Raw genomic sequence first — 20,951 nt, 5'->3', positions numbered from 1 at the left:
CTCAAACCCTTGGGCAGTGTCCTTCCTTATGGGCCACCCTAAAGGCACCTCTAGGAAAGCTACTTTTCTTCCATTCCCAGTGTGGGAGACAAGTGAGTGTCATACGGCACCACACAGTGGCCGTGCCGGGCTATATCACCTCTTGGGATCGGACACTGTGCTGTGGAGTGACTGACCAAACTCTTGTTTGTGTCACCACCCTTGTGGTATTTCCAGCAGAAGGAACAGTCACCTTTCCTTCAATAAACATTTATTGAACACCTACTGTATGCCAGGGATGTGGGCAACTTGGGCAAGGGTGACCAGGATTGAGGTTTTTTTCACTTGGACAGCTGGAAAGGCAGAGGATGACAGGTATCCCACCCATGACTCTCCTGTGAATTAGACACAAAATAACCCTCATTCAAGCTACGTGCCTTTGCCAGGGTGTGTATCCAGTTGGGGTGACAGCCTTTGAGAGAGGGGTTGGATGTACTGAACAGACAATAAAGAAGCCAACTCCTCAGAGCACCTTGCCTGGGGAGATCAAAGGATTCCATGGCTCCCCAAGTGACTGCATAAACCGCCAGCACATTTAAGAAGCTTATTGGCATAAAGAAAAAAGGACTCAGGGACCACAGAGTTTTCTTGAAGTAGAGTTTAATTTAAAGCTTATTGATCATTTGAGCAAATCTCTGGAGGGCAGAACAAGAAGGAGCAGGCTTCAGTTAACAGAAGCAGCCTTGAGTTGCCAGGATAGTGGATGGAATACCAAAGAAAGAGTTCACACCAGGGAGGAAGCAATGCCTTCTCCCTGGAGTCTCCCAAGGGGCAGCTTTAGAATAAGGGAAGAGGATTTGCTGGTCACCGTTTGCTGACATGGGTCTCTATGGTGAGTTCAGGCCTGAGGACAGGGTTGTCTGCAAAACCACATGGCCCTTGAGAAATGTCCTTGCAGATTGGGCTTCAAACTGCTTGGAGCACCAGGAGAGGGACTTCCTGGATTTCAGGGATAGAGAGAGGAGAATGGAGGCAATAGGAGGAGAATGCACTTCTATCAGGCCCATCCCAGTGCTGAGAGAGCACTCCAGTTGACAGGTGCCTTCAGGGCTGGTGAACCCATGGCCTGAAGATATGGCAGCTTCTCAAGGGTCGTCAGCAGGTGGCAGCACTGGGCTGCCCATAGTCTGCTGCTCCAGGGAGAGACTCTGTGGCTTCGAAATCTATGGATTTGAATTGAGACAATGGTGGCCCTGATTTTTGAGGCCATGACTCAGGAAAGGGATGGGATTCTGTGGCCTCGGCTGGTGTTTCTAACTGTAAAAGAGGTGACCCTGTGATAGCACAGGACCTGGCCTTGTGGGTCTGGCTGCTTATGGTTGTGTTGGCCTTTTTGACCTGCTGGCTCTTGAATCTGCCCTCATATAAGTCATCAAATTTAATCATCCATAATCTGAAAGCTAAGCACAAGGTAGGAAATGCTGAAATCTCAACTAAGGCTCCACAGCATCAGACAAGGCTACTTGGTGATGAGAACAATCTTCTGAGCATTAATCTCTTTCACTTGTTTGGAACTTAACTTGACGATAAATTTCTTGGGTCCAGTTTTTATTGGGGTGCATTTTATTTGGGATTGGATGGTCTCACCAGGCTGCACCGTCCTGGAAAATTCAAAGACATACGGACATACAATCAGCCAAGGATGTTATGGGAAGAGGGAGAAGATGAGTTGGGTGAGAAGCCAGGAAACTGAGCCTTAGCTCAGCCTCTTTGAAAAGTCCTGGCCATTCCAGGGCATGGCACAGTGTACCTGCACCCTGGGTGCTGCTATCAGTTTTCTCAGATGTAAAGCAAGACGGGTGAACCAGCTGGTTTCCAGAAGCTCTTCCAACTCTGACATTTCACAAATCTTCCCTGGAGTCTTGCCTGACTTTACTACAGATGTTCTTGTTTCATGAGTATTAGCAACAGTCATCTATTACATAAAATCTAAGAGGAACATGTATTTTATGTTGAATCCACATGCAAGGAATTGGCTAGCCCCTCACTACTCAAAGTGTGTTCTGGGGCTTCGCAATACTAGCTGAGCTTGTAGGAAACACAGAATCTGAGGCTCCACCCTAAACCTGCTGAATCAGAATCTACACTGTAACAATACTCCCCAGGTAATTTGTGTGCACATTAAAATGTGATAAATCGTGGTCTAAGGAAAATAGGAGTCTACTCATTTTTACTTGGAAGATTCAGACATCCTGTAAGAAACAGACCATCAGAAACCTCTCAGAAACAAAACATTAGAGTTCAGTAAAGTTTTTTGCTGGATATATCAGCATGCCAAAAATCAATTTCCATATAGTCCAGCAAACAATTAGAAAATACAATGAAAAATATTCCATTCATAAAAGCTATAATATTGATGCATCTTGGAATTAACCCAACTAATAACGTGCAAGTGGTATATAAAGAAAACAATATAGCTTTTCTAAAGGTGATAAAAAAGACTGGAAAAAAATGGGAAAATCTCATATTCCTAGATGGCAAGACACAATATTGTCATTTGGCATAATTCTCCCCCAAATAAATAGGTAAATTCAATGCAGTATCAATCTAAATCCCAGCTGTTTTAAAATTATATGACAAGATGATTCTAAAAGTGCTATAGACAAAAATGGGGGTGGGGTGGGGATTTGCCTAATACATATCAATATGTAGATATGATAATCATATAAAATTATTATAGGACTACAATAATTTAAGTGGTATGATGTTATATTAGAAGAAGACAAATGAAATAGCAAATTAAAGAGTCCAGAGACCCAGATATATATGGGAATTGACAGCATAATAAAGGCAGTGCTACAAAGTACTAGGAAAACCACAGACAAAGTTGGAGCTCCACATCACTCCACACCCAAAAAAAATTCCAGATAAATACCTAATTGTGTAAATAAAGCTGGAAATTCTAGAAAAAGCATAAGAGAATATTTCTATGCACCTAGGATGACATGAAATTCAGTATCCGTAAAGGAAAAGATTGAAAAATTTGACTACATTAAAATTTAAAAGTTCTACTGGTGAAAGACATCTTAGTGTTTAAAAAAATACAAACTGTTCGGCCGGGCATGATGGCCCATGCCTGTAATCCCAGCACTTTGGGAGGCCAAGGCGGGCAGATCACCTGAGGTCAGGAGTTCAAGACCAGGCTGGCCAATATGGGGAAACCCCGTTTCTACTAAAAATACAAAAATTAGCCGGGTGTGGTGGCATATGCCTGTAATCCCAGCTACTCAGGAGGCCAAGGCAGGAGAATCACTTGAACCTGGGGACGGATGGAGATTGCAGTGAGCCAAGATCGTGTCACTGCACTCCAGCCTGGGCAACAAAGTGAGACTCCACCTCAAAATAAATAAGAATCAAATTTAAAAAATTGAATACAAAACTGCTATAAAAAAATTCACAGCACATAACACTCTACTGTGTAAAGACACCATACCAATATGAAAAAATAAATGACTCAGTAGAAAAATGGACAAAAGTTAGGAACAGGCAATTCACAGGAGAGAGTCAATTAATGTAAGAAATATTCAACCTCACAAATAATCAGATGCAAAGTAAAGCAATGAGATTACTTAACCACTAGATTGGCAAGAATCAAAAAGATCTGTCGGTAGAGCATAAATTGATGCAATCTTTTCTCAAAGTAATTTGGCACTAGCAAAATGTATCTACATTTTGACCCTGTGACCCCATACTGGGAATTCACTTCTCAGGAATATGCACACATGTGCAAGATATATGTCCAGAAGCATATTTCTAAGAATACCTCAGGCAGACTCACCCATGGTCAGAGGTCTGTAGTGAGGAGATGCCCAGGCTTTCCAAAGAGAACTTGACGTCAGTCAAAGGGATGGCCAGGGTATTCTTGAAGATACAATTGCAGACAAGTAGCTGGCCAATTCTGCCTGTGTTAGGCAACTGTAGTAGGGTGGGGAGGAGAGATGGGGAGAGAAGATATGCATGAGCCAACCAAGGACCCTCAGGGTTCTTAGGGGCCCCGTCACACTCCATGGCCAACTTCCAGGCAGAAGGAGCCCTTTATGGCCTGCAGGAAGCTCACCTCTATAGAGAACTCAGGGTACTGGAAAGACGTGAATACTTCAGAGGCCATGATTTCCTTAGACTCCACAATTTCCGCAATGATGAAACCTCTGATAACTGGCTCATCATCTAATATAGCCAGGCTGTTGATGTAGGTCTTGGAGTCCAAGGTCAGAGTCACTTCTGATACTGCCAAAGAGTCAGGGTGGAGGGGAGAGGTCATTCATCATACCCCCCCAGTATGAGTTCTCCTCATCAAGCACAGAATTAGATTAACTTTGTGTGAATTGAACTGGATAACTTTGGACATGTCCCATACTCTCTTTAGAAAACAAGACGTTGGGCTCAAGATGGAATAATAATTGGCCAAGTTCTCCAAGCTTACATCCTGAGTCCATGACAGACATTACCCGTTGTCATCAGGACATCCCACTTGTTCCCAACACTGTGCCTTGGGTACTCATAATCATTGATCTGACTGGGCATCTGAGATTAAAATTTCTGCCACCATAGAAGACTTCTCATGACACTTTCAGCACCCCTAATTTATAACTCTACGATAGACCCAGGCTCCTAGTCCAGTGGTCTCTTTGGCTCACTTTTCTTCTGTGGCTGGCTTTCTTGTGACTACCAAGGGGTAGGTGCTCAATAAATGTTTGTGTTAACTCACACACAAAAATTTATCAATGTATGGAAGTTGTCCACAGAGGAGAAGAGGGATTTCAGATTGTGGGACCCTGAGCCCACTTGAGGCCTCTCCTCCCTCTGGTTCTGGTACCTTGACCTTGGATCTGCGAGGTCTTATTGAGGTCACACAGTTTTGCCATCTTCTTGCCAGTGTACAACTGTAGTTCAAAGGAGCCCAAGATGTTGACATTCTGTAGGGCAGCGGTCTTCCTTTTAAGAATCACGGTGAAATTAACAGAGTTTCCCAGCAGCACATCATCTGATTGTACCGACATGTGAAGAAAGTTCTCTTTTACAGGTCGTCTGTGCTCCCTCTCAGAACTGAGAAGGAGGAAGGCATGATCCATGACCTGCCTCTCCTCAGAGGAGCCTGAAAGAGACACAAAGGCAGCTTCCTTCAGGTGCTCCTTCAAGGACCAAATGTCCCAACCACCCGTGTGGCAGAAGGAGACCATCTGCCTGGCCAGGACTCCAGAGACATCCCTGGAGCCCATGAGCTATAGATTCACACAGAGGATCATTCAAATCCCCATTCCTAAGCAATAGCACATTCTGACATCAGTGGGAATGGCAGAATAAAGACCTCCAAAAATCTGCTTCTCCATAAAAGCAATGAGAACATTGGCAAAAATTATCAAATCAACTTTTTCAGAATTCTTGAAATTAACTAAAGGCTTATAATAATCTAAGGAGCATTTATTCAAGAAAAACAGCACAATCTCAGTAAGAATAGTTTTGTGGCATTCTGATTCCCATCTCCCCTTCTTTCCAGCTCCAGAGTAGACTCAAAAACCACAGCACCAAATCACAGTGAAAACCAGCAGCCTAGCCACCTCTGGAGGGGACAGAATGGTTTTGGAGTTCCGCTAAAAGCTCCACTACCAGAGAATTGTTGTTAATTGACCTAAGGGCGATTCCCTGGAAACCCTCATTCACAGAGTTTGTCTTCATTGACCTGACTCAGAGCTCCCTCATTACCAACAGCCTTTTCCCTGGAGCATTTGTTAAGACAAACAACCTGCAGCAATTGTTTACAACTGCAGTTTCCTAAGGCAATAAGGAAAAGAAGGGAGTTGAGGGGAAAAGAAGCCGACCAAAAAGCTTAAAAGGAAAAGCTGAGGGACAAAATGTCCACGGGGGCTTTGAAAAGCTCAGACAGATTCCTGGAAATCTAGAAGGTCTGAGAAAGATCTGATAAGGCTCTCACCTCTAACTGACCTTGAGGCTCAAGCAAGAAGTGAAGGCAGAATTGTAAATTGCCTGCCAGAGCATTGAAATGTACCCTAACTTGTACACAGAGCCCCTTGCCAAAGGCTAGGAGTCTTAATGATTCAAGGAATTTAAAGCAATATCCATCTAATCATTAGCTGACCATTCAGCAAACTGAGCAGAGAATTCAGTGGTCATGGACAAGAAAGATTATAGAATTTCTGGAATTATATCAGAGAAGTTGTTAAACAAATAGCAACCACAAAAGCAACCCTGGGATGGGGGACAGGATCTGATTTCCAGAGTTGCCATATTATGTTCTTTAAAATGTCCAATTTTTAACAAAAAATTACAAGACATGCAAACAAACTATAGGCCATACATGGTGGTGTGGGGGTGGCAGGGTAGGAACATGGAAACAGTCAATAAAAACTGTCCCTAAGGAAGCCCTGACATTGAACCTACTAGACAAAGACTTTAAATTAGCTATTTTGAATATATTCAAAAAACTAAAAAAAAAGTGTGAGAACAAATGGCTTGCCAAATAGAGAATATCGAGAGAGATTAAAATTATTTTTAAAAAAGAACCAAATATAAATTCTGGAGTTGAAAAGTACAATAATAGCAGATTAGAGCTTGCAGGAAAATCAGCAAACTTGAAGACAGGTCATAAGATTATCTAGTCTGAGAGACAGAAAGGAAAAACAATGAGGAAGAGTGAACAGAGCCTCAGAGACCTGAGGGACACCATCAAGTGTAGCAGTTGACAGACACCACTGGTCTCCCTCTCTATCCTTTCCCTCCCTCCCTGATACTTCTGTCACCCTGCAAAAAAAACAAAAAACAAAAAACAAAAAAAACAAAAACAAAAAAAAACACTCCTGACCTAATTGCTTTTAATCAAGTTTGCTCATTTTCAACACAACCCTGAGGATAAGATTCTATTTCAGAGATAGCAGCTGTAAGACAGGAATTTCTGAGCTTGGTTACAAAGCTCTCCATCCACGTCCATTCTGAACACAAAGAGACTTCAAAGTGGAGAGCTCCAGTTTGTCCTGAGCTGCCTTGGTAGCCATCAATCACTTGCCTCATTTATATGGAAGAAATATTTACTGCAGGCCTACCTTGTACAAGGTTTTACACAAGCTCACAATCAACCCAGGGGTCCAAACTGACCTGCTTGTAACTATACTGCAATGGAGGGTGGGAAAAGCCCCAGCTGCATGGGTACCATCTGCCATCCCATAGCATAGCAAATTGCTCCCTCGTCTATGAGTCCTTACGATTTCCTGCCTTCCTCTTAATCACATCCCATCTTCAGTTTGCCCCTGTCTGGACTCTTGCACCCTTTGAGGATGCTATATGGAGTTGTCTTCCTTTCCTTACCACGTGGTACAGGAACCACAGCCAATGGGCCACAGGGGAAATACAAATCTGTCAGATTGAGGAACATCAAGAACAGAGGCAGCGTATGAGCCTGTGGATAGTAGAGATTGCAAAGGAGACAGTTCAGTTAGGGAAAGCATAAGCAGAGGTTTGGCCAGGGGTGAAAGTAGCCAGCATTTTCAGGTAACAGCAGGCAGCATGGCTAGGGGATGAACTTAAGCTCAGGAAGGGAGCCAGAGGCCAGCTCTGCAGGGGCCAGAAAGCCAGGCTGAGAAGATGTCTAATTTACTGGGCACTGGGGAGAACGGACAGTCTTAGCAAGGTGAATGAGCTGGTCAAACAATGCAAAGGCCTCAATTAGGATTTGTCTTTTTGTTTGTATGAGACAGGGTCTTGCTCTGTCACCCAGGCTGGAGTGCAGTGGCATGGTCATAGCTCACAGCAACCTCAACCTCCCTGGCTCAAGCAGTCCTCCCACCTTAGCCTCCTGAGTAGCTGGGACCACAGGCACATGCCACCACACCCAGCTAATTTTTTTTTTTTTTTTTTTTTTTGGTAGGGATGGGGTTTCACCATGTTGCCCAGGCCCACCCCCAATCTTGACTATTTTCATGTTCTGGGTGACTCAGGGGCTGAGTCAGAAGGAGCCCTGTGATGCTAGCACCTTCTGGATACTTGTACTCATAGGTGATATCTCTCCGCCTGTCTTGGCCCACTGCCTTGGTGCTGATGTTTTTCCCGATGCTTGTGGTCTCCATTGAAATTACGTGTAACTCCTCCTGCCCATTCACCATCTTCACCAACCAGATGAGCCTGTCACCATTCACTTCTGAGAAGACGAATCTGGTGTCATAGACAATAAAGATGTCACCTTTGCGGATGGCGGTCAGTGGTGATGGCCCACAGCAGAAGACACCTGAGGGGAAGCCAGGGGTGGTCACTCTCAGTGGGGTTCCCCAGCCCACCCAGCCTGGACCCAGTGGCAGCAATGATTCCCAAACTCAAACAGGACTGGCAAGCAAATTTTGCCCAAGAAGCATCTGGGTACTCATTTCCTAGGCCATCCTTAACTATTCTGAAAAGAGGGGCACATCTCAGCTTTGACTTGAAGAGTGTCAGGAATCCTCTGTCCCAGTAATAGGAAGTCATGCTGCCTATTAAACTCATCCCAGCACATCAGTCCCCAGTAGAGCACAGAGACACACAATCTGGGTCTGATTCCTGGCATCACACCTTGGAGCTATGTGACCTTGTGCAAGGCATTTCAGCTCTCTGTGGCTCCATTTCCTAGAAAACTGGGAATAAAAACAGCACTTACCTTCTAAGGCTATTGCGAAGATTAAATTAAATAATCCAGGCAAAGTACTTAGCCCTGTGCCTAAAACAAATGCAAGCTGTTGCTATGGATCTGGGCTAATAAGAACATTTCCATTCTAAGAGCTGTCTATTTATTTATTTATTTATTTTTCATTTTTGTTAAGAGCTGTCTTTTTATTTCTAGCATGGGGATAGAGAGTTCCCTTATTAGTCATTGACAACTTAATGAGAATTAGTCTCTTGACTGATAGTTCCTCAGTAGTAGCTTTGGTTTTTACATACCCTTGTATTCTGGGCATTGGGCTTTCTGCTTCCACTATTTTTATTTAATCCTCAACACACAGGCTCCTCTCCCTTGCCTCTTTAAGGCAGCCAAACCTGTGAATTCAGTGTATTGGAGGACTAGGACTCAGGAGAACTGGTCTCCTAATCTAATACTGGTTCTTCTCCTAACTTGTTGACTGAACCTGGGCATCCCCACCCTCCCTCTCTGGCCTTATCTATAAGGTGAGCAGGTTAGGTGGGCTTTTAAGGCCCCTTTTCTGGCCAGGGAACAGGGCTTCCTCTGCCTCTCAGGCAGATAGTGGCACTGCGCTACTCACTGCCTGGTTGCTATGGCTACTGTCCCACCTCAGCAAATGCTACTTAGACTCCCTGGATGGAAAGAGCCCTCAATACTGCCCTGCTGAGAATCTTCCTGCAGAGTATGCGGGGGTGTGGGCATATCACCTGCTCCTCCCACCTCTGGGGGCCACCTCCCACCACCCTCACCCCCTATTATAAGGGCAATGCCTTATCTTTGGAGAAATGTGGAGGCTGTTTTCACTTTTAACAGCATTTTTTTGCCTTCAGGGCCATGTGGGCTCACATTGCAGCTGGAGGAATCAGGAGTCTCACACTGATGGGTGGAGCCCGCAAAGTATGTTTAAATTGTAACCTGAATGCCTTTGGGGATCTGCATGCTCATGTCTCTAGGTCCCCATCTTCCCAAGTAGACAGCCCTGTTCACTCTCTGGCCCTGTGGGCAGATGAATTTGCTATCCTTGGGATGAGGCTCACAGCCAAACTAAGACTTATTCCTAGAAGAACCTTGAGAGACATCTACTTCAGGGGCTGCAGGAGTGAGGCAGAGATGTCAGGGAGGGGCCGGCTGGTCCCTGGGCACACTTCAGCTGGAGTAGTTCTGCTTTACATTATGAGGTGGCACACGAAGTTTCCTTCTGAGCAGTTGGACTGCTTTTTTCAAAAAAAAAAAAGTTTGAGGCTGGGTGCGGTGGTTCACACCTGTAATCCCGGCACTTTGGGAGGCCGAGACAAGCAGATCACCTGAGGTCAGGTGGTTGAGACAAGCCTGGCCAGCAGGGTGAAACCCTGTCTCTACTAAAAATACAAAAAATTAGTCAGGCATGGTGGCAGGCGCCTGTAATCCCAGCTACTCGGGAGGCTGAGGCAGGAGAATCACTTTAACCTGGGAGGCAGAGGTTGCAGTGAGCCAAGATTGCACCATTGCACTCCAGCCTGGGTAACAAGAGTGAAACTCCATCTCTAAATAAATAAATAAATAAAGGCCAGGCACAGTGGCTCATGCCTGTAATCCCAACACTTTGGGAGGCCAAGGGAGGTGGAGCACGTGAGGTCAGGAGTTTGAGACCAGCCTGACCAATATGGCAAAGTCCTGTCTCTACTAAAAATGTAAAAATTAGCCAGGCATGGTGGTGTGCACCTGTAGTCCCAGCTACTCAGGAGACTGAGACAGGAAAATTGCTTGAACCTGGGAGGCAGAGGTTGCAGTGAACCGAGATTACACCACTGCACTCCAGCCTGGGCAACAGTGAGATTCTGTCTCAAAATAAATAAACAAATAATTTTTTAAAATTTGAGAATTATTGAGCTAATCTATTTTCCCTTTACTGGGCTGACTTTGTCTTTAGTACTAGGACTCACTATTTAAAATAAAGATAACTTGATTCCACAGATTTTCCAAGTAACCTCAGACCAACCCCATGCCTCTGCTTCCCCAGCTGTACAAAGACACCCTTGTCCCCCGGCAAGGTCCTTCCAGCTACAAGGGGCCACTGTCTTACCCAGAAGTTGGTAACCCATAACCAGCTGAGATAAGCATCCCCATTATGTCTGACTTGGGCTGAATCCTGGTCCAGCCTTGTGGATCTGTGTGACCTCAGGCAACTCACTTCACCTCCCTGAGCCTCAGTTTCCTCATTTGTAAAATGACGATAATGACAACCTACTTTGAAAGGTTAGTTGTGAGTAAAATGGATCATGTAGGTACTGCGCATGGTATGCAGTAGGGAACCCTTAAGTGCCACCATCTCATTGCTCTTAACAGTACTGTCATTGGCATTATCTTCATAAAAATAGCCAGCAAACTGAAGCCCCTGCTCAGTGGGAATAGCAGGAAGGACTGAGCATGCTTTTTGTTTTGGGAAATTTTTATGAAAACTTTCCCCACCTGCTTGGCTGCATACCCAAGACCCACAGAACCCTGGGCCATGTAAGGAGAGCAGCATGGATGCCCAGCGCCTTCCTGCCACCCACTCACCCTGGCTTCGCTCCTGCGGCGTTGCGTCCACAGCCTGCCAGCCGTCGTAGCCCTTGGGCAGATCCGGTCGCTTCATCCAGGCATCCGTCCACACATGGAAATTCCTGCCGCAAATTGGGAACGGGCCCCACCCCGGACCACCCCCAAACCTAGTTAGAGATAAATACGCCAAAATTGCCAGAGACATCTTCATCACCGGGGACCCACTGAGGTTGTTCTCAGGGGTTTGGGAACCTTTGTCAACACTGGCAAGGAAGGGGCCACCGGTGAGTCCCACCTGCCTCTCAGAAAGCCTCCCAGGGCACAGAGTTGTGTGCAGGGGGCAGGGCTGGGGGAACCTCATGAGACCGTCACCCTGCCTATGGATTTCAAAGAGCCTGGGAGTCTTCACCACTAGAGATGGTGAACTCGAAGCAGAACTAAATCTTATCTGTCTTGACATCTGCAGTGTTTGAAGCATAACAGACACCTAATAAATTTTTCCTGGATGAATGGGTGAAATGCACTAGGCTGTGCAGTCACAGCCTAGTAAAAGATTACAACTGTTATTTCATTCATTCAATGAATGTATTCAATTCACTGGGATTCTGATTTGGTTGATCAGCAACTTTGTAACTGGCCAGTCTCTGAATTCTCATATTAAATCTTGCTATTTTTAAGTTGGTGCTCTTGGTTTTCTAGGTAGACAATTAACAGTCATTCCTCGGTATCCACAGGGTATTGGTTCCAGGACCCCTGAGTATACCCAAATCCATACACACTCAAGTCCTACAGTTGGCCCTGTGGAATGTGTATATAGGAAAAGCCAGATCTCAGTATAGGCAGGTTTCACCTCCCACAAATACACCTGTACTCAGTTGAAAAAATCTGCCTATGAGTGGACCTGCACAGTTCAAACCGATGCTGTTCAAGGGTCAACTGTATATCATCTACAAATAATACTGGTTAGTGCCTCCTTTCCAAAAGTTTCAAGTCTTTCTGTTTTTTCTCATCTTGGTACGTGAACTAGAACGTCTCAGCAGTATTTAAATAAAAGCTGTAAGGCTCCAACTTCAACTGAAATGCCTCGGGAATTTGTAATCATGCCCTGACCTTCCCACCTCGTCTACTCCCTCTGCAACTTCTCATTCTCCCTTTTCTATCTTGTGGTCAATTTTAGCTTGCAAGGGGCCCATGTGCTCTGGATCAGAGAACAAAGGAAATAAGCTTCATGCTGGCCAGTGGGTACTAGTTACATCAAAAGTTCTCAAACAGTGGTATATATCAGATCTCCTGGGCCAAGTGCTAACATGAACTTCAGACTCCTGGCCCTTCCCCTGTAGAGGCAAAAGCTCCAGTACAGGAATCTGCATTTTTTTTGTTTGTTTTTTGTTTTTGTTTTTGTTTTTTGAGAGGGAGTCTAGCTCTGTCACCAGGCTGGAGTGCAGTGGTGCGATCTCGGCTCACTGCAACCTCTGCCTCCCGGGTTCAAGTGATTCTCCTGCCTCAGCCTACCAAGTAGCTGGGATTACAGGCACGTGCCACTATGCCCAGCTAATTTTTGTATTTTTAGTAGAGATGGGGTTTCACCATGGCCAGGATGGTCACAATCTCCTGACCTCGTGATCCACCCACCTCAGCCTCCCAAAGTGCTGGGATTACAGGCATGTGCCACCATGCCTGGCCAAGAATCTGCATTTTTTAACAATCACCCCCAGGTGATTCCAGCACAGATTGTCCAAGGCCAAATGTTGAAAAATATTGAATTTCAGGAACAGTGAGCACTGGCCTACAACTTGAATCAGTCTCTGAGGGAGGCTGAAGGGGCCCCACAGCTCAGCAGAATCTCTGGGTTGGGAGGGCCTGGAGACTGGGCTTGGGCTAAAAAACTCCTGGGATGCCACGCATGGTGGCTTGCACCTGGAATCACAGCTACCTGGGAGGCTAAGGCAGGAGGACTGCTTGACACCAGTTCAAGACCAGCCTGGGCAAACTAGCGAGAGACCCTGTTTCTAAAAAGAAAAAAGAAAATTCCTGGGAGAAGGAGACAGGGCAGGTTGAGAAGGAGGAACCCTACCAGACAGAGTCGTGGGTCATACTGGTGATTTTCTCGCCATTCTCATTCACATAGGTGTCCACCGTGAGGTTCCTTTCTGTGTCGTGAGCTGAATCGAAGCCTGTCACACTGCGTGCTGGGATGCCCAACGCTCTCAGCACTGAAATGATCCAGGGTGGGGTGGTTGGCAACTGTGGGGGCTGGGAGTCCCTCCCTTGGGACCTCTCCCCTCAGCCCCTGGATCTGCCACTTACCTGTAGTCAGGATCCCAGCAAACACCCAGCACTGGCCAAAGCACACAGCCTGCTTCGTGTTGTAGTACTGCTGCAGGATCGGGGCACTGCCTGTCCACTTGTATGGGGCTGTGCCACCTTCGTAGTCCCCAGTCCAATTCCCAATGAGCACGCCCTGGCCTTTCTCAAAGCTCATCTGCCACACACGTAGGGGTGGGGTCAGTGTCCGCCCCTCAGAAGAACAAGGTGCTGCCAGCCCAGCTTGGCCACCCAGCCCCCAAAGTGGACACCTCATAATGTCTCAGAGTACTTGGAGGACGTGGGCTTTCCAGAACAGGTGGGGTGCCCAGAAGGGCCAAGGAGCATGCCAGCTGTTTGAGTGACCGGGGAGGATGCTCACTGCTGTATGCCTCAGTTTCCTCCCTTGTAAAATGATGATCATTACAACACCTACCTTTAGGTTGGTTTTGTTTGTTTTTTGAGAGAGGATCTTGCTCTGTAGCCCAGGCTGGAGTACAGTGGTGTGAGCTCGGCTCACTGCAGCCTCAACTTCCTGGGCTCAGGTGATCCTCCCACCTCAGCCACCCAGGTAATTGGGACTACAGGCGCACGCCACCACACTTGGTTAATTTTTGTAGTTTTTTGTAGAGGCAGGGTTTCACCATGTTGGCCAGGTTGGTTTCAAACTCCTGAGCTCAAGTAATCCAACTGTCTCAACCTCCCAAAGTGCTGGGATTACAGGTGTGAATCACTATGCCCGGTCCCTTTAGGTTGTTTTGAGGATGACCTGGGTTAAGCCTATGCCTGTTTTGGCATCTTCCGTTTTTAAATTGTCAGTGGCCTGCACCTCTCTTAACCCCTGAGGAGCCCTGGCCAGACGATCCTTTCCACCTTATTAAAACCAGAGAGAGGACAAAGCCTTGTGAGTTCACCTTTGAAAGCACTTAATGGAATCTCTAAAGAAGGTTGTACAGGCAGGTGCAGAGGAACCCTCCGAAAACATGAAAGGTGACACAGTCACAAATCTTTGATCTGGTGGTGGCCTGGCTTTGACCACATCCACCCATCCCCTCCTGGCCTGCACACTAACGTCCTTTGCAAACCTCATCATGCCTTGTGAAAAGCACAGTTACAGTGCCTCATGTTTCCCAGGATGTTAAAGATGTCCGTTTGTTTAACTAAAACCCTTATAGTATGCTACAATTTCTGAATCCTGTTTGGGAGTTTGTTCAGTTTTAATTTACAAGAAGTCTCAAACAATGGTGTGGCCTGGGCCTCCCGTGACCTCTCAGGTCCTGTGGCTGGACAAGCCTCTTCATTCATCAAAATCAGAGAGAGAGCAGAGGCCACCGCCAGACTCAAGAGTGGTCAGACGGAATGAAAACAGATGAAAGAGAGACAGGCAAAGGGTCCTAGGCAAAGCAGGAAATACCTCCCATCTTAACTGTCACCCAGCCACTGCCCTGGTCCGGCTGCTGCGTCCTCCTGCGAAATTAAGCGGCCCCAGCCTGTCAGCGCCTGCTAGACACAAGCCGTCTATAGAGCAATGTAGGGGAGGGCGGAGATAGGGAAAGAAGGGGAGTGACGCTGAGCCCAAAGGACATCAGGACTTTCAAAACTCCTGATGCACGAGGCTCTATCCCCCTGCGGAACAAAGCACATTTCTGTGCCCAGGCATGGTAGGCAGTCACCGAGATGGTCCCCAGTAATCCCCTCTCCTAGACCCAGTGACTCACTTCTAACCAACAGAATGCAGCAAAAGTGATGGCTGTCACTTCTGAAATGAGGTGACAAAGGCTGTGGCTTCCAGCCTGGGCACCCCCTCTCTTATTTGCTCACTCTGATGGAAGCTGGCTGCCATGCTATGAGCTGCCCTGACCTGAGGCTGCTCGCAGCTAGGTGAGTGAGCCTGGAAGTAGGTCCTCCCCCAGAGATCTTCAGCCAGAACATTCAGCTAAACCACACCTGGATTCCTGACCCACAGACATGGGAGATAATGGATGTTTGTTGTTTCAGCCACAGTGTCTTGGGGTAACTTATTACTTAGCAATGGATAATGAACGCACTCACTGCTGCGCCGAGGTTCCCTGCCTGGTGTGGGAGTCGTCTTTAGGCGACCCTGCCAGAAGCTCTGCCTGCTAGTCAGAAATTCACAGATCCAGGAGGCCCATGGATAGCCACGAATTTCTAAGGGTGAAGGGGCAACCTTTATAGGGAACCTGGAAAAGGGGAGGGCCTCTGAAGTGGGCTGGGGTTCTCAGACTCCCGAGCGTGGAAGCTAATCTGCAGTAACCTAATTTTGGAAGTGACTCCTGGAACACCTTGGAGTTCTGAATTGCCCATGCTTGCCTCACAGCCTGAGGAGGTGGCTGGCAGGGCACTAGGAAGGAGCACTGCACCAGGAGTCAGCACAGCTGGCTCAACCACCACTTCACTGTGCAGCCTTTGGCGAACTGCCCCTTCTCCCCCGGCTGGTTTCCTCATCACTGAAACAAGCAGCGGCTTAGCCCATTGCTTCCCAAACCCCACCACGCATAAGAATGACCTGGGAATAGGCTACTCGTGGGCCCAAAGCGTGTCAGACCCTGGGCTGGGCACTTGTTGTGTGTTATTGAGACCTCATAATCACCCAAAAGATGAGATAACAGAGGCCCAAAGAGGTTTAGAATCTTGTCCAGAGTCATGGAGCTTGAAAGGAGAAGCAGCCAGGTACGTGCCAGTCCACCTGCACCACTGAGAACTAGAGCCCCTCATGGCAAGTTCTGCCTGCTAATGACTTGGTCTCCTTTACTTGTTCTTTCTCAGCATCCAGCCTGGCCACCTGCTGGCCCCTGGGCTAGAGAATGAACATACCAGCATGGGGGTGAAGGGGAAAGAGCAGGCATGGTGGACTCCTGGGCCCCAGAGAGTCAGCGTGAGGGCCCCCGGTAATCCCATCAGCCCCTAAGGTGCAGGGGAACAGGAGCCCCAGCATTTATGAGGCATACCACGTGCAACAGACACAGGCTCACAGCCACTCTGCAAGGAGGGCATTTCAAGAGCCCCTACTTAAGATCCGTCTGTCGCAGCAGTTCAGCTCACAGACTCACCTGGAGATGAACATACGTCTGCCTGCCACCCACAGATGGCAAGAGCAGCCAGTTGGCTGAACTCAGTGGACCTTTGGAGAGTGGTCCTCACTGGCATTGGGAGATCCCTGGGAGTTCCAAGTTCTGTGATCAAAACTACTTGCATAATAATCCCAAGGTAATATTTGCCTTCTTCACTCTCATTCTCTCATAAGTGTACAAAGGATGAAAAATCGTGGTTTCAGATTCCACATTGCAACCAACTTTAAGAAACTGCCACTTACAGAGCTTCAGTATAGTATCTTCCATTATCTGAAAAGGCTATGGGAATATTCCTGCCCCCGCCCCGCTTCTTTTTTTTTTTTTTTTTTGAGACAGAGTCTCGCTCTGTCACCCAGGCTGGAGTACAGTGGTGCGATCTTGGCTCACTGCAACCTCTGCCTCTCGGGTTCAAGTGATTCTCCTGCCTCAGCCTCCCCAGTAGCTGGGACTACAGGTGTGTGCCACCACACCCAGCTAATTTTTTGTATTTTTAGTAGAGATGGGGTTTCACCATGTTAGCCAGGATGGTCTCGATCTCCTGACCTCGTGATCTGCCTGCCTCGGCCTCCCAAAGTGCTGGGATTACAGGCCTGAGCCACCACGCCCGGCCGTCCTCTGCCTTTTTAAATCTACGTATCCGTGTGAGGCCAGATGTTCATATATTCCAACTAAAACAATGAATGCAGAAGCAGATATGAAATTCCAGCTGACTTCTAGCAAGCCAGACATTAAAGAGATTTGCAAAAATGGAAAACAATGCCACTCTTCTCACTACATATTTTATGCTTCGAAAAACATAGGTTTTTAAAAATAAAAATACGTTATTTATGTTAACATGTAATGGAATTATTCTTTTAGAATAAATAGTTTTAACCTTTTCAGTTTTAATTTCTAATACAGTAAATATTGGTAAATATAAACCATATAAATACAACTTATTTGGGGTCCTTAATAATTTTTAAAAGTGCAAAGAGGTCTTGAAACCAAAATATTTGAGAACTGCCACTCTGAACAAACTGACTTCCAAGTGGCCAGGCAGAATAGAGTGACCAACCATCCTGTTTGCCCAAGACTGAGGGGTTTCCTGGAACACAGTATTCTTAGTGCTAAAACCAGAAAAGTCCCAAGTGAACTGCAACAGTTTGCTCACCCAACTGGAGCCCAGCTTGCAGGTAGAAAGAGGACCTTCTGTATTAATATCATTTTGCAGATGGGGGAAACTGAGGCTCAGACAGTTGAAGCCATTTACACCTAACGTCAGCCCATAAGTGGCAGGGCTGGAGTTCAGACTCAGGTCTGACTTGAAAGCCGGGCGCGGTGGCCCACGCCTGTAATCCCAGCACTTTGGGAGTCCGAGGCGGGTGGATCACGAGGTCAGGAGTTCAAGACCAGCCTGGCCAAGATGGTGAAACCCCGTCTCTACTAAAAATACAAAAAATTAGCCGGGCGTGGTGGCATGTGCCTGTAATCCCAGCTACTCCGGAGGCTGAGGCAGAGAATTGCTTAAAACCTGGATGGGTGGAGGTTGCAGTGAGCCAAGATCGTGCCACTGCACTCCAGCCAGGGTGACAGAATGAGACTCTGTCTCAAAAAAAAAAAAAAAAAAAAAGAAAAGAAAACCTGCGCTCAGAACAGATTTCAGCAATGTCTATTTCTTAATAGTTTTGAACAATTGATTGGCCATAGCACAGTGGTGTACTTCAAAGAGCTTACAGTTTAGATGAGGAAAAACAGAAAAAGGCTGAGCAATTGGCAAGTACAAGACAGCATCAGCCCAGGCTTTCCATACCTACCATAGCACACATGGCCCTGCACACCAGCACGGGGTCCCTCCTATCTGTGGGCTTGAGGGAGCTCTCAGTCAGCAGGGAAATGCAGCAGTCCAGGACATTTTTCTCAAACTATTTTGGGAAATGAAGAAAGAGGCAGTTAAGACTTTGCCCTGTGTCAGAAACTTAACACATACCATCTAATTTGCATGTCACAGCCACCCTGTAGCGTAACCCATCTCCCCTGCCTACAGTCTCATAAAAAAGTCCACCACAGCACTGAAAATTAGAAACCATTTAAATGTCCTGCCACAGGACAGTAGTTAAGTAAGTTTATAGAGCTCTAGCATGCAGCCACTAAAAGGAAGTATAAGAAGTTTTTAATACCATGGGGAAAATTCCTTTGTAATCAAGTCAAATAAATGAAACAGGCCGGGTGCGGTGGCTCACGCCTGTAATCCCAACACTTTGGGAGGCCGAGGCAGGTGGATCACCTGAGGTCGGATGCTCAAGACCAGCCTGACCAACATGGAGAAACCCTGTCTCTACTAAAAATACAAAATTAGCCGGGCGTGGTGGTGCATGCCTGTAATCCCAGCTACTCGGGAAGCTGAGTCAGGAGAATCGCTTGAACTCAGGAGGCGGAGGTTGCAGTGAGCCAAGATCGTGCCATTGCACTCCAGCCTGGGCAACAAGAGCAAAACTCTGTCTCAAAAAAATAATAATAATAAAAATAAATAAATAAATGAATAAATGAAACAGGCTACAAAATTGTGAACAAATAGCATTACAACTATGTAAGCCTTAGTAATAGATAATAGAATAAAATACACTAAAATGTTAAGTCATTATCACTGAGGGAGGAGGTTATGAATAATTTTATTTTCTTTCCACATTTCTGTGTTTCCTAAGTCTTTTGTGATAAGCACGTTACTTTTGAAATTCTATTTACTGTAAGCCACTTTATCAAGATATCATTTATATCTCATAAAATTTACCATCTAAACTGGATGATTCAATCTGTAATTATCCATAAATATCTGTATATTTACAGAGTTGAAGTACATGTGTTACTTTTGTAACCTGAGGGAAAAACTACCAAAATAAAAGGAATAGACCACAATGTTTATGTTCCAGAAGGAGTCTGGGGGAGTTTTGTGGTTACAATTCTTTGAGATTCTTTTTATTTTTATTTTATTTTTTATTTTTTTGAGAGAGGGTACAGTACAGTGGCACAATCACTGCTCACTGAAGCCTTAGCCTTCTGGACTCAAGTGATCCACCCACCTCCCTCTCCAACTGCAGTCCCCCCTCCCCACAGCTCTGCCTGGGACTATAGGCATGCATCACCATGCCCAGCTAATTTGTTTATTTTTTATAGAGACCAGGTCTCCCTATGTTGCCCAGGCTGGCCTTGAACTCCTGGCCTCAAGCCATCCTCCCACCTTGGCCTCCCAAAGTGCTGAGATTACAGGTGTGAGCCTCCATACCCAGTCACTCTTTGGGCTTCTTAAAATCACCGCTTGATTTTCTTTTTTTCTTTTTCAAGATGGAGTCTCACTCTGTCGCTCAGGCTGGAGTACAGTGGCGCCATCTCGGCTCACTGCAACCTCCGTCTCCCGGGTTCAAGTGATTCTCCTGCCTCAGCCTCCCAAGTAGCTGGGATTACAGGCACGTGCCACCACGCCTGGCTAATGTTTTGTATTTTTAGTAGAGACGGGGTTTCACTGTGTTAGCCAGGATGATCTCGATCTCCGGGCCTCATGATCTGCCTGCTTCGGCCTCCCAAAGTGCTGGGATTACAGGTGTGAGCCACCGTGCCCGGCCCACCCCTTGATTTTCTAAGAGGGGAAACTCCCTAGGATTCAGGTGATTCCTTCTTCCCTACCCCTCCTGCGGTTCGTTTGGCTGTCTCCTTGCCAGCTACTCCCTTCCATTTCATTTCCCTCTGGTCCTCATGTGTGAGGAGAGGATGCTGAGGGCCTTCTAGGAATGAGTGAGGGTGGAGAGGGCACTCGGCGCACCTTGCACAGAGCACACAGTGGGAGCCTCGCCAGCTGGGAGTCCTTCCTCCCTTGTCCCTACTTCCATCCTGTCCTAGGCGTCCAGACCCAGGGGGAGGAGGAGAAACTCAAGCAGCTGTGAAATGCCTGGCATTTCCCAGGAGTTTTTTGTTGTCAAATCTTGGGGGAGGGGAGGTGGGAAGCATCTGGTGTCTGGCATCCTCACACCCCAGCTTCTCTGCCTCATGGCTGCACGAAGGCATTGGCCCTCCACTCAGCAGAGGCCTCCACACAAGTCTCTAAAAAACTCTCCCTCTTCTTTAGAGCTCTTTGTCAAGGCCAACATTCTAATTGTAACAGTGCTTCCTTGTAACAGTGCTTCCTTGTAACAGTGCTTGGTTCTTTGGTAAATACACTGGGAGGTAGGGGGTGGGAGAGAGCTGTTTGGCATGAGAGAGAGCCATGGGGGTGGGAGAGAGCCGTGGCGGGGTGGGGGGTATGGGAGATAGCCATGGGGGGTGGGAGAGAGCTGTGGCGGGGGTGGGTGGGGGAGAGAGCCGTTGGG

General features: G+C 46.8%; 1 protein-coding gene across 2 annotated transcripts in view, besides 1 other annotated feature; it reads right to left on the bottom strand.

The window, feature by feature from the left end:
* Positions 1-233: 233 nt before the first annotated feature.
* Positions 234-20,951, bottom strand: part of TGM4 (transglutaminase 4) — a 40,383-nt gene continuing 19,665 nt past the window's right edge. For both annotated transcript variants that reach the window (XM_011534042.3, NM_003241.4), the window contains 9 exons: positions 18,408-18,515; positions 13,526-13,700; positions 13,293-13,431; positions 11,237-11,340; positions 8,024-8,275; positions 4,856-5,134; positions 4,097-4,266; positions 3,818-3,954; positions 234-1,640 (listed from right to left, as the gene is read on the bottom strand). In XM_011534042.3, the coding sequence (XP_011532344.1) occupies positions 1,499-1,640; positions 3,818-3,954; positions 4,097-4,266; positions 4,856-5,134; positions 8,024-8,275; positions 11,237-11,340; positions 13,293-13,431; positions 13,526-13,700; positions 18,408-18,515 (1,506 nt within the window). In that variant the 3' untranslated portion in view covers positions 234-1,498. The remainder of the gene's footprint in view (positions 1,641-3,817; positions 3,955-4,096; positions 4,267-4,855; positions 5,135-8,023; positions 8,276-11,236; positions 11,341-13,292; positions 13,432-13,525; positions 13,701-18,407; positions 18,516-20,951) is intronic.
* Positions 16,135-16,676: an enhancer, noted in NCBI's record as "H3K4me1 hESC enhancer chr3:44940040-44940581 (GRCh37/hg19 assembly coordinates)". NCBI's record gives its function as "activates a minimal SCP1, AML or CMV promoter by ChIP-STARR-seq in primed H9 embryonic stem cells {active_cell/tissue: H9 hESC(primed)}" and the evidence as "EXISTENCE:reporter gene assay evidence [ECO:0000049][PMID:30033119]".

This window comes from Homo sapiens, chromosome 3, assembly GCF_000001405.40.
Source record: "Homo sapiens chromosome 3, GRCh38.p14 Primary Assembly".
Classification (NCBI taxonomy): Eukaryota; Metazoa; Chordata; class Mammalia; order Primates; family Hominidae; genus Homo; species Homo sapiens.
The sequence above is the reverse complement of the archived record's forward strand: the minus strand, read 5'-3'. Positions and strand labels throughout refer to the sequence as shown.